The sequence below is a fragment of the Homo sapiens genome, chromosome 13, assembly GCF_000001405.40.
Source record: "Homo sapiens chromosome 13, GRCh38.p14 Primary Assembly".
NCBI classification, from domain to species: domain Eukaryota; kingdom Metazoa; phylum Chordata; class Mammalia; order Primates; family Hominidae; genus Homo; species Homo sapiens.
The window spans coordinates 104,837,186-104,850,488 of NC_000013.11; the positions used below are offsets into that span (position 1 = coordinate 104,837,186).

At 37.9% G+C, this 13,303-nt stretch overlaps 2 long non-coding RNA genes across 5 annotated transcripts in view; one reads left to right on the forward strand and one right to left on the reverse strand.

Moving 5' to 3' along the window:
• The window catches only part of LOC107984606 (uncharacterized), an 84,462-nt gene extending 83,661 nt beyond the window's left edge, over positions 1–801 (reverse strand). For all 4 annotated transcript variants that reach the window (XR_001749995.2, XR_007063859.1, XR_001749994.2 and 1 more), the window contains exons 1-2: positions 605–801; positions 18–116 (exon numbers count right to left, since the gene is read on the reverse strand). This is a non-coding gene — a long non-coding RNA (uncharacterized LOC107984606). The remainder of the gene's footprint in view (positions 1–17; positions 117–604) is intronic.
• A 480-nt stretch (positions 802–1,281) lies between these two features.
• LOC107984608 (uncharacterized) overlaps positions 1,282–13,303 on the forward strand; it is a 52,829-nt gene continuing 40,807 nt past the window's right edge. The window contains exon 1 of the long non-coding RNA XR_001749997.2: positions 1,282–1,408. This is a non-coding gene — a long non-coding RNA (uncharacterized LOC107984608). The remainder of the gene's footprint in view (positions 1,409–13,303) is intronic.

Below are 13,303 nucleotides of genomic sequence, written 5' to 3' on the forward strand. Positions count from 1 at the left end.
AAATCACATTTGCTTACCTTATGAGTGCTGAAACAAGAAGACAGACTGCCCCAGTTCAGTCTCTGTGGGAAATGTTTATGCCTGGCGACCGAAATTTTTTGCTACTCTTTGCACATCTGAGAATGATTATGAAAGCATTGTGAGTACGAATTTTGGTGTTACAAATAAATGTTATCAAATAGGCAAATTTGCAAATAGAGAACTGCAGAAATGAGGGTCAATTGCAACTTTTGAATCTGTCTGTTTCTCTCCATTCTCCCCCAAGTAGCATAGTTTGCATTAGCTTAATAACTAGTGAATCATCCTCCCCATCCACCCATCACAAGTCTCCGGACTCTCCCAAAATGACTCTTTAAAACATAGATATAGTCCTGCAACCCTTCGTTTAAATCAAATTAATGGCTTTCCACTTTAAATTATGGGGAAAGGCACACACAGCTTAAAGACCCTACCTGGACTGGCTCTCCAAACCTCTCTCACCACATCACCCTTCTTTTATTCTCTTCTTGTTACAATCATTCCTTGTATGGGATATGCCCTCCACCTAGATACCTGGTCCTCCTCCCTCCTCTTAGCTAACTCCTCCTCATCCCACAGATTTTACCTTGGATGACCTTCCTTTATCAGGGAAGCCTTCTCTGACCTTTGCATAAGACAGATCCTCTGGTCATGAGCTCACTAAACTGTCAAGAGATTGCTACATTTCAGCACCACCAACAGTAGCCTTGAACATCTGCTTGTGTGATTATGTAACCAATGTCTTCTCTTTCCTAGTCTGTCGATTTCAGGAGGTTAAGACAGGAAGCTCATCTCGTTTTACTCCCTTTTATATTGCCAGACTGGCACAGTGCCTGGTCCCCAGTACATGATTAATAGGTATTTTTGTGCATAAAAGAAGACAGGGAGGGAAGGAAGAGAATTGAAGAAGGCAATCGAACTAAACTAGGACTTGAGAATGGCATTTTAAGAACAGGTGAAGGAACAAGACAAGAACAATGAAACGAGACAGAGGGAGATTTTGTCAGAAGCTGAGCCCTGACTTCAGGACACATGAGGTGCAGGACCAGAGTCGCCCCTAATCAGCTAGGCAGATTGTGCTGTGTTATTCCACTTATGAAACAGCAATTGCAGATCCTATTGTGGCCTTCTCGGGAGAATAACTGCTTCAGGCTTTGGGGATAGTTAATTTTATTGTAAAATTTACACGGATTGGGCATAAGGTTGCCCCATGAACAAAGAGAGATCTGGTGAATCAATACAAAGGAGTTATATGGTGCCATTTAAAAAAGCAAACAAGATATGACATTCCCTGAATTCAGGGATGTTTTCTGATATGTTCTCATCTCTATTTCTAGCTCGTAGCTTCGAAATGTCTCTGACTGCATCTCGGCTGCTTCCCTTCACCCCTGTAAGTAACACGTGTGCATATCTATATCTTTCAAATAAATGTATGAATAACGAATCCTATGATGCATAACAAATCATATCCCATGAAGAAACAAAGTATTGTTACCTCAACATCAAATTTAGCAAGGTCTTTCATGCTGTTCTCCATTTTCTTTAAGACTTAATATTGTAATATAAATGAAATATGGAAAATACAGAAAAAGTCAAAAGAATTACAAATGCTTTACAATCTAGACTAATCCTATGAGGTGAAGCTAAATGAGTTAACACTTCTAGTTCACTAACAAATTCTACAAGGACTTTTTAAATAGTATTTTTATAAAGTGAGATATTTTGCATAACTAGAACAAATTCATGTTAATAGACCTACTGATAGGGTTGAAACTGATTAAAAGTTGAGGTCCTTTTAAAGTCATATATCTCTAAGCGTCCACATTTCATTGCAAACTATTCTCTTTCCACTTAATAAATGTCTGTGATAAAGAATCAGTTGAGTATAAAATGAGGACCAAGCTAGATGATTTAGACTAAACTGGATTTTTAAGCACACACACCTGGTATGTTTTGGGGATGAGGTTTGGCATGTGGAATATCAAAATGTGCAGTAGTTTAGCTGAGAATTCAGGAGTAAGAAGAACTTTAGTAATCATTCATATATATTACAGATGCTCTTTTTCATGTTTTGGAATTAAAAACTCATTTCTCATTTCCTCCAAAGCTATAATCTTCTCTGCATCAAAGTGTCTCTTTGCTTCATTCATTCCTCTCTTTTATCTATCTAAGAAGCTGTTCTAGGAGATAAATAACTCTTACGAATATGTTCTTGGAGATAAATACCTTTTGTAAAATTTTTCCTTCCAGTGGGTATTTCTGGCCCCAAGACCCCTCTCCTTCTTCTTACAGCTGTAGCCTGTCTCCAAGTCCACAGCTCCTGTGACGGTGACCAAATGTCACTAGATTTTATTTTTTTAGGTATTCTTTTAATTCTTGTTAAAATTAGCTTCAGCTGTTCTTTCTGTTTTAATTAATGTCTCCTAGCACCAAATTCAAAGCAGTGATAACTTAGACATTCTTTGAAATACAAAGTAAATTAAGTGTGTTTTCCCTGTATTAAGAATCTATAAATAGTGATTAATTTATTATAGTTCAATAAACTCTGTTTCATACTTTCTTTGCTCTGGATTGGTAGAAAGATGAATGAGATTATTCTAAAACTCCTGTAGGGTCTCCAAATACACTCTATAGGTAGGTGAATCCACCACCCTGCTGGCAAGGAGCTTGAAAGCATTTCCATATGTAGTCATTCTGTCACTTGTAAATCAAGACACACTGAGTATTGACTCAGTGTTGAGTTGAGCATCTTGCAAACAGCCTTGTAGTATGGCGGTGGAAGTGGGATTTGTGAGGAGGGTCAAATAAAGAAAGCTAAAAGGCCAATTCCATTAACAAGCACTGGCCTGAGTTCCTGCTTTCCCTCCAATGAGTACACTGCACTAAAAATACGATGAATATGTCACTGGAATGCACACATACATGTTATATATCCATAGTTTTATATATATTATAAATGTAATATCATCTTGGTAAGACAATTGTTTAACCCTGATCATTCCATAGTTTAGCTAAAAAATCGATTTTTCATATCACATGATACTTCATCCTAAAAACTTTTTAGTTATATCAAAGTTATCAGGAATAAATTGAATTAGCTTATGATCTGGCTACATGAATATCGGGTGATGGGGGAATACTTTACCATTTTTGTTTGTTTTAAGTTCAGAGTAGAACTTATAGTTGCTAAAATCACAACACTGCTCCAATGACCCTTCCTACCAAAAGCTGTATTTCCAGTCAGATATGTGAGATCAGAAATAATATTTCTTTTGTTTCCTGAGAAGATTATCCAGAAAAGATCTATTGTAGTATATTTCTTTAGTATAAAATATTTACCTAATCAAAATTTTTTATTTTTAAATAATTTCAAACTTATGATGAAGTTTCAAAAATAGTTCCAAAAGGTTTCCTATCCCCTAGTTGTTAACCTTTCATTTTCACAGTTGTCTTTTCCTTTTTGTTATGTCTTCTAATATTTTTGAACCATTTGAAAATAATTTGGCCGGGCACGATGGCTCACGCCTGTAATCCCAGGACTTTGGAAGGCCGAGGCAGGTGGATCACGAGGTCAGGAGTTCGAGACAAGCCTGGCCAATAAGTTGAAACCCCGTATCTACTAAAAATACAAAAATTAGCCGGGTGTGGGGGTGGGCACAAGTAGCAAGCATGAAAACAACTCCCAGCTACTCGGGAGGCTGAGGCAAGAGAATCACTTGAAACTGGAAGGTGCAGGTTGCAGTGAGCTGAGATTGTACCATTGCACTCTAGCCTAGGTGGCAGAATGAAACACCATCTCTCAAAAAAATAAATAAATAAATAAATAAATAAAATAATTTTTACACAATACTTCATTAACTTTAGATACCACAGTGTACATTTCCTTTAAAAAAAAAAAAGTGTTCAGCATCATAAGTCATTAGCAAATTGCAAGTTAAAATAACAATGAGATACTACCACATACCTAATGGAATGGCAAAAATCCAAAACAATGAGAATGCCAAATGCTGGTGAGGATGTAGAGCAGTGGTCCCTAAATCCCTGGCTGTGGACCAGTTCTGGTCTGTGGCCTGTTAGGAATGGGGCCACACAGCAGGAAGTGAGTGGCGCGGCGAGTGAGCATTATCATCTGAGCTCTGCCTCCTGTCATATCAGCGGTGGCATTACATTCTCACAGGAGCATGAACCCTATTGTGAACTGTGCATGTGAGGGATCTAGGTCACATGCTTCTTATGAGATTCTAACTAATGCCTAATGATCTAAGGTGAAACAGTTTCATCCCGAAACCGTCCCCAAACCTGCATTGTCCATGGAAAAATTATCTTTCACGATCTGGTCTTTGGTGCCAAAAAGGTTGGGGACCGCTGATATAGAGCAACAAGAATTCTCATTCATTGCTGATAACAATGCAAAATGGTACAGCTACTTTGCAAGGCACTTTGGTAATTTTTTACAAAACTAAACATACTTTTACCATACGATCGAGTAATTGTGCTCCTTGGTATAAATTTAAATAAGTTGAAAATGTATGCCCACAAAAAAAAAAAAAAAAATCTTAGACAAGGATGTTTATTGAGGCTTTATTCATAATTGCCAAAACTCAGAAGTAACGTCCTTCAACAGGAAAACAGATAAATAAATGGTGGTATATGTAGACCATGGATGACAGACATATCTCAAAGGTATTGTGGGTTTGGTTACAAATCACCACAATAAAACAAAGATCACAATAAATTGAAGCACTTGAGTTTTTTGGTTTCCCAGTACCCATAAAGGTTACACTTACACTACAAGGTACTCTGTTAAGTGTGCAATTGCATTATGTCTTAAAATGTGATGTACATATATTAATTAAAAACACTTTTTTGCTAAAAATTTCTAATGATCATCTCAGCCTTCAGTGAGTCCTAATCATTTTGCTGCTGGAGGATCTTGCCTCAACATTGATGTCTGCTGACAGCTCAGGGTGGTGGTTGCTGAAAGTTGGGGTGGCTGTGGGAGGTTTTTTCTTTTTCCTTTTCAGATGGTGTCTCTCACTCTGTCACCCAGTGAAGTGGCACAATTATAGCTCACTGCAACCTCTAACTCCTGGGATCAGGCAATCCTTCCACCTTAGCCTCCTAAGTAGCTGGGACTACAAGCAGGCACCACTAAGCCTGGCTAATTTTTACAGTTTTTGTAGAAGCTGGGTCTCGCTTTGTTGCCCAGGCTGGTCTTGAACTCCTGGCCTCAAACTATCCTTCAGCCTTGCCCTCCCAAAGTGCTGGAATTATAGGCATGAGCCACTACACCTGGTTGAAAATTTCATAAAATAAGACAACAGTGAAGTGTGTCACATCGATTGACTCTTCCTTTCCCCAAAGACTTCTCTGTAGCATGTGACACTGTTTGATAGCATTTTACCGATAGTAAAATTTCTTTTAAAATTGGATTCTATCCTCTCAAATTCTGATGCAAATTTATCAACTAATTTTATATAATATTCTAAATCCTTTCTTGTCATTTAAATAATGCTCATAGCATCTTCACTACGAGTAGATTCTATCTAAAGAAAGCACATTCTTTGTTCATTTATAAGAAGCAACTCCTCATCAAGTTCTATCATGGGATTGTAGCAATTGAGTCATATGTTCAGGTTCCACTTTTAATTTTAAATACTCTGCCATTTCTACCACACTTGCAGTTACTTTGTCTAGTGAAGTCATGCCCCTCTCCAAGTCATCCGTGAGGGTTGCAATCAACTTCTTTCAAACTCCTGTTAATGTTGATATTTTGACCTTCCATGAATCACAAAAGTTATTAATGGCATCTGGAATGACGAATCCTTGCAGGTGATTTTTCAATTTACTTTGCCAAGTTCCATCAGAAAACTCACTATCAATGGCAGCTATAGCCTTATGAAATATAGTTCTTAAATAATAAGACCTGATATTTCAAATTACTCCTTGATCCCCAGAGTTCAGAGTGGATGCTGTGTTAGTAGGCATGAAAGCAACATCTCCTTGTACATCTCCATGACAGATCTCTTGAGTAACGAGGTACATTGTTATATAAGTAGTGATATTTGAAAGAATTTTCTTTTTCTTAGCATTAGGTCTCAACAGTGTGTTCAAAATATTCAGTTAACTATGTTATAAACAAATGTGCTGTCATCCGGGCTCTGTTGTTCCATTTCTAGAGCACAGGCAGAGTAGATTTAGCATAATTCTCAACAGCCCTAGGATTTTCAGGGAGGTACATGAACACTGGCCTCAACTGAAAGTCACCAGCTGCATTAACCCCTAACAAGAGAGTCAGCCTGTTGTCTGAAGCTTTGAAGCCAGGCATTGGGTTCTCCTCTCTAGCTATGAATGTCCTAGATAGGATCCTCTTTTAAAAAAGGCAGCTGTGTGCACATCACAAATCTGTTGTTTAGTGTAGCCACCTTCATCCTTTATCTTAGCAAGATCTTCTGGGTAACTTGCTACTACTTTTCCATCAGCACTTGCTGCTTCACTTTGCTTCTTTCTTTAAACCTCATATCTGCCTCTGCTAGCCTCAAACCTTTCTTCTGCAGCTTGCTCACCTCTCTCAGCCTTCATAGAATTAAAGAGCTTTGGCAACTTGCTCTGGATTAGGCTTTGGCTTAAGGGGATGTTGTGACTGGTTTGATCTTCTATTCAAACCATTCAAACTTTCTCCATATCAGCAATAAGGCTGTTGTGTTTTCTTATCATTCATGTGTTCACTGGAGCAGCACTTTTAACTTTCTTCAAGAATTTTTCTTTTGCATTCATGACTTGGCTAACTTTTTGGTGCAAGAAGCCTTGCTTTCAGCCTATCTCAGCTTTTGACATACCTTCCTCTCTAAGCTTATTTCTAGCCTTTGTTTTAACCTAAGAGACGTGTGACTCTTCCTTTCGCTTGAACACTTAGAGGCCATTGCAAGTTTATTAATTGACCTAATTTCAATATTATTGTGTCTCAGGGAATAGTGAGACTTGAAGGGAGGGAGAGAGGACTGAGGAACAGCTAGCTGGTGGAACAGTCAGGATATATACAACATTTATTGTTTAAGTTTGCCATCTTATATGAGTGTGATTTGTGGCGCCTTAAACAATTACAATAGTTACAGAAAAGACCACTAGTCACAGATCACCAAACAGATATAGTAATTTAAAAAGTTTTAAATTTTACACAGAGACATGAAGTAAGCACATGTTGTTGGAAAAATGGTGCCAACAGACTTACTTAATACAGCGTTGTCACTAACCTTCAATTCGTAAAGAACACAGTATCTGCAAAGCACAAAAAATTAGGTCTGCCTATATTACTGAGTGCTAAGAAGAAATGAACTATCATGGCATGAAGGGACATAAGGAATTCTTAGGTGCATATTATTAAGTGAAAGAAGCTAATCTGCAAAGTGCACATAAAGTATAATCCCAACCGTATGACCTTCCGGGAAAGGCAAAACTGAAAACAGTGAAAGGATCAGTGGTTTCCAGGAGTTTGTGGGATGTGAGGTGTGAATTAGTGGGACACACAGCATGTTCAGGGCTGCAAAACTTCTCTGTATGATATTCAAAGGGTGGCTATATGTCATTATACATTTGTCCAAACCCACAGTTTGTACAACATTAAGAGTTAACCCTCACGGAAATCTTGGACTTTGGGTGATGACGATGTGCCAATGTAGATTCATTGGGACCCATATAACACTCTGGTGTGAGATGTTGATAGTGGGGGAGGTTCTGGAGGTGTGTGGTCAGAGGTTGTAAGGAAACCCCCTGTACTTTCTGCCCAATTCTCTTTTTTTTTTTAAGATGGAATCTCACTGTCACCCAGGCTGGAGTGCAATGGCATGGTCTTGGCTCACTGAAACCTCCTCCTCCTGGGTTCAAGCAATTCTCCCGCCTCAGCCTCCCTAGTAGCTGGGACTACAGGCGTGTGCCACCACACCCGGCTAATTTTTCTATTTTTTCTTTTAATAGAGACGGAGTTTCACTATGTTGGCCAGGCTGGTCTTGAACTCCTGACCTTGTGATCCTGCCACCTAGGCCTCCCAAAATGCTGGGATTACAGGTGTGAGCCACCACACCCAGCCCTTTCTGCCCAATTTTTTATGAACACGAAACTGCTTCAAAAAATAAAGTCTATTAAAAATGTTGAAAGTGTCCTACATAATCAAAGTTCAATGAGCATAAGTAGGAAATTAACATTGCTGCATTATTGACATCTCATCTGCAGATTCCAATCTCATTTGGCCTACTGTCCAAATAGTGCCCTTTATTTGTCCAGGATCCAATCAGAATCACACATTGCATTTAGTTATTATGTGGCATTAGTCTCTTTAGTTCCTTTCAATTGGAAAGAGGTCTTCCCATACCTGATGGCTGATCAGCCCTGGTTCCATCCCCTCAGCCCCTCATTCACCCATGATGGGCTCTGATCAAGTTTGAGGGAAAGGAGGAAGAGAAAAGAAGCAAGGTGAAAGTGAAAACTTTAGTTTTTAAAATTATTTGTATGTGTCTCATATCCTCAAAGTATCTTTATAGGTAGAAAAAGCATATACTCTATCCACATTTAGAAGACAGAAAAATAATGCTTAGAAAATTTAACTGAGAAGCTGAAGCCAAATAGAAAGAATTAAAATTAATCTTTATAGTATTAAAAGACAATTCTTGATTAAACATAGAAAAGCAAAATTTCTTTATACTATATTTGAGGAAGTTAAAGCACAAATTTTGAAATGCAAATAATTTCTAGGGGGAAAATGATCTAATTCAATTCAACATACACAGCCTTTCTGATTGCTATCTATGCACATATGTATATATGTACATACACATACATAAATACTAATACTTATATGTGTGCAAAATACATCTATCTATATATCCATCCATCCATACATATGTGCGCATAACTATATATGTACATGACAAATGCTGAATGTTGCAGAATGATTAGAGACAAGTAAAATATCATAGTCTTTTTTTTACTAAGAGCTTATACTCATTTGAAATCCGGTTTGGCAATCTATGACATAGATTTTTACTTTTATTTTTCTTATAAGAGGAATATACCCCAGAAACACTCTTTCTCCTTTAGGGGAGTAAAACAAAAAAGTAAATTTGAATGCCATAGTAATTCATCGGGAATTCTGATTTCTAAAACATACTTGTATGTGCAACTGTTATGAGGCATAGCCTTTGTTACATTGACTTGGTTTTATGAAAGATACTGCTAAAGCAGTGCTGGATATGTTTATAGAAAAATACTTCTGCATGCAGATTGGCTGCCTCAAATACAATGGTAAGAAATGCATGGAAATGGGGGAAGTGAAATTGCTCCGCAAAGAAGGAACCTCTGAGATTATCACTACCTTGTTAGAACTGAACACTTAAAGGAAGATATGACATTTACATATCCTGCACTCAGGTGCAGAGAGACTAAGAGGTATTCTAATTTCCTGTTTCTGGGATACTTTTGATATATTTTACTTAGTCCTTTACATGACTCTTCCTTGAACACAAACCAAATATGAAGAAGCTATTTGTTTTATTTAAATGTATGTTATTTCTCAAAGAAAGAAATGTTTGACCTTCATAAAACATTTTCACCACCTTGTTATTTTCTGTACATCAAAAATCTTAGGAAAATGGATGGATACGAATGATCTATGGTTACTAAAATTTGTTTTATTGAATCTCAGTACCAAGATATATACATGCATAGAAAAGAAGATTTCTGTATACTTGCAATGTCTCTCAAACATTTGTGTATGTGAATCACAGGAGAGCTTGTTAAAATATGGATTTGGCTTCAGTACCTCTGGGGTGGAGCCTAAGTTTCTGTATTTCCAATAAGTTCCCAGGTGTTACATATACTGCTTGTCTTTACATCAAATTTTTTCATGACAAGGAAGTAGAGAACACATAGAAATATAGCAATTCTATTTTGATTTTCACTTTCTTTATGAAGGAAAAAAATACACACCCCATTAAATTACTACTTATACTGTAAATGTATCTTCAAATATCCTGTGTATTTTTTTCTCAGTCTTTGCTGGATTGATTTTGCTGTTTTAATATCTGAAAGTTTTTTCACACATTTTTTCTAATATATAGTTTTCTTGGCTCAAACAGTACACAGTAAGTAGGAGATTAAATTGTGCTATTCTCATGGGAATATGAAAAACCAACACGTCCTCTGGTTTCCAGTCTGGCATGTAAGAAACCTGGAAGTCATCACTTCATCCTATTAACAAGTAAAAAGCTGCACAGACTGAAAATCAATAACCTTTCCTTAGATCAGGGGAAGAAATGAGGTCACAGGACAAACCTCAAATACGGAGAATCAAAACTCACATGAGCAAAAACCCAGCAGCTAAAACCTCCATGGAAACCCATGCGGGGATAGGAAACCTGTAACTGTAACTGATGAATCACTGGGGGCTCAGTGTGGATGAGTCTGAGAGACAAAACCCCCAAAAGGACCTGGTCATTAGAGACCCACGACTTTTGTGAGTTCTACATCCTGGAGTTCTACCAGGTTCTCACAGTGAATATCAAAGGGAAAAAAATCAATCCCGTTGTGCTTCCACAGGGAGAAGGAAAAAGGAAATATCTTAAAATACACCAGAGAATTCTGTTATTATTAACAAGGTCTGCCCTTAGGACAAGCTGCTTAACCAGAGTCTAACCTACTGGGAAATTATCAGAGCCTAACTTGCCTGGGAGAAGGGAAATACACAATTCCAGCCCTTTCTAACTTTCCTCGTGGAGGAAGAGAAGTAAATACCCAATTTTAGCCATCCAGTCCCACTCAGGGGCGAGGGGGCAGGGATCCTGAGAAGAACCAGCCAATCTCACAATCCAGAGGCAGAGGCTCTGCCAAAGACTGAAATCTGATCATGAGACTCCAGGTCACTCCCCCAACATACACACCTTGCCACTGCATTGCTACAGGGCTATTTATAGCATTTCCTTTTACTAAGTACAGCGTGCCTGCTTATCAAGCAAAAATTCCAATGAATTTTTGAATGTCTGAATGTCTCCCCAAATTCATGTGCTAAAATTTGATACCCATTATGGTGATATGAAAAGGTGGGGTCTTTGGGGAAGTGATTAAGTCATGATGGCTGCACCTTCACAAATGGATGAGGCCCGTATAAAAGACCTGGAGGGTATCAGCTTAGACTTTTCTGATCCTTTTGCCCTTCTTTCCATTTCACCATGTTAGGACAGCTACAAGGCGCCATCTCAGAAATAGACCGCTGCCCTCACCATTCATCAATCCTGCTGGCGGCTTCACCTTGGACTTCTTAGCCTCTAGCACCATGATAAATACATTCATACTGTATATAAATTACCCAGCATATGGTATTTTGTTATAGAAGCACAAACAGATTGAGATACAAGGCAGGCCAGGCGTGGTGGCTCATGTCTCTAATCCCAGCATTTTGGGAGGCCAAGGCAAGCAGATTCCTTGAGCCTAGGAGTTCGAGACCGTCCTGGGCAACATGGCAAAATCCCATCTCTACAAAAAATGAGAAGTGTTAACCAAGTGTGGTGGCACATGCCTGTAGTCCCAACTATTCAGGAGGCTTAGGTGGGAGGATAGTTTGATCCCAGGAGGCAGAGGTTGCATCACTATACTCTAGCATAGGTGCCAGAGAGAGACTCTGTCTCAACAAAAAAAAAAAAAAAAAAAAAAAAAAAAAAAGCAACAACAACAAAAGCAACAAGAAACAAGGCACATTAAAAGGCAAAATACACAATTTGAAGACAGAGCAAGCATCAAAACCAGACTCAGGTAAGTCAGGGATATTGAAAGTATCAAACTTGGTCATTTAAAACAGCTGTGATTGGCAAACTAAGGCCTCTAATGGGTAAACATAGATAGCATGCAATTTAAGCAGAGAGGTGAAAATTCTAACATAGAACTGAAAAAAATGCTAAAGATCTAAAACACGGTCACAGAAATGAAGAATGCCTTTGATGAGCTTATTAGTAGACTGGACGCAGCTGAGCAAAGAATATATGCGCTGCCCGTATCTCCACAGAATCCTTCAAAACTGAAGCACATTTTGCAACTAATGGAACTCACAACTGCAAACATTAAATACCAACTTTTCTTCAAAAGATTTATTTTTCTGCATATAAATATTATTTACTTTCATTCTTATTTTGCTACTTATTTTAAAAAAATGACATATTTCTGAAGCCCTTGTGAAAGGTGCAACAGACATTATCAAGAATGAGGGTGAAAATACACATGTATTGCAGCAGAGAAAGTATGTTTCCCCCCAAATATCCATACACTTGAAGATAAATCAATAATATTCCAATATTAGAGCTGTGAGTGGCAGAAAAATGCTTTGGGGACAATGAAAGATCAAGGCTGATGTACATGGAGAGATTGCTAAAGTATTCAAACAAACAAACATATTCTGGTGCACAGATACTCTCATCATGTTGCACAGATATGGGAAGTTCCTATAAATTCTATATCTATAATTAAAACTATATCTTTTACTCATTTACTTTTAAGTCCACCACTAATTCCATTATTTTCCAAGGTGATTGAAGCATTAGATTACTAGCAGATAGGACAACTTATGTTAAGGAACTTCTGAAGAAAATTTTGCCCTTGAAATATCATCTGTACTTCTCTATTTTACCATCTAAGCAAAGAAAATATTGAACCAAAAATCCCGGTAGCTAGAGTCCTCATATGTCTTCTGCTCCTAAACCATGGATAACATGGCCCCCTGCTGTGACTTGTTTATTTTCTTACTATGCCCAAACACACCCAAATCTTACAGATGTCTCCAAGCTTCCAGGGAGATAAGGGAAGCAGAAGATTTGACAAGGATTCTAGGTGAATTTTTGCACAGAGAACACGAAACCCAGCATGAGTACCTCAGTCTAGGTGAATTTTTGCACAGAGAACATGAAACCCAGCATGAGTACCTCAGTAGGAAAAAACAATCTCGGACAAAGAACAAGGGAAAGGAAGTAAGATGCCAAGGGGATGCCTCTATATCTAGTCAAGTCTTGGGAGGAGAGGATTAAACATTTCAGGAAATAGCAAGGAAGATAAAGGGTATTTCCCACTATATGATTTTCATCGTGTTTTCTAACCCAGAATCTGTTATACTCCTTAAATTTTTTTAAAAGATGCATATTAAAATATTTCTAGCAAGGCTTAGACAAAATATGTAGTTATATGTAAAGAAGGGACACGTGTTATAAAATGTAGCTTCCCTTCCTGATCCAATGTAATTAAAAAATGAAA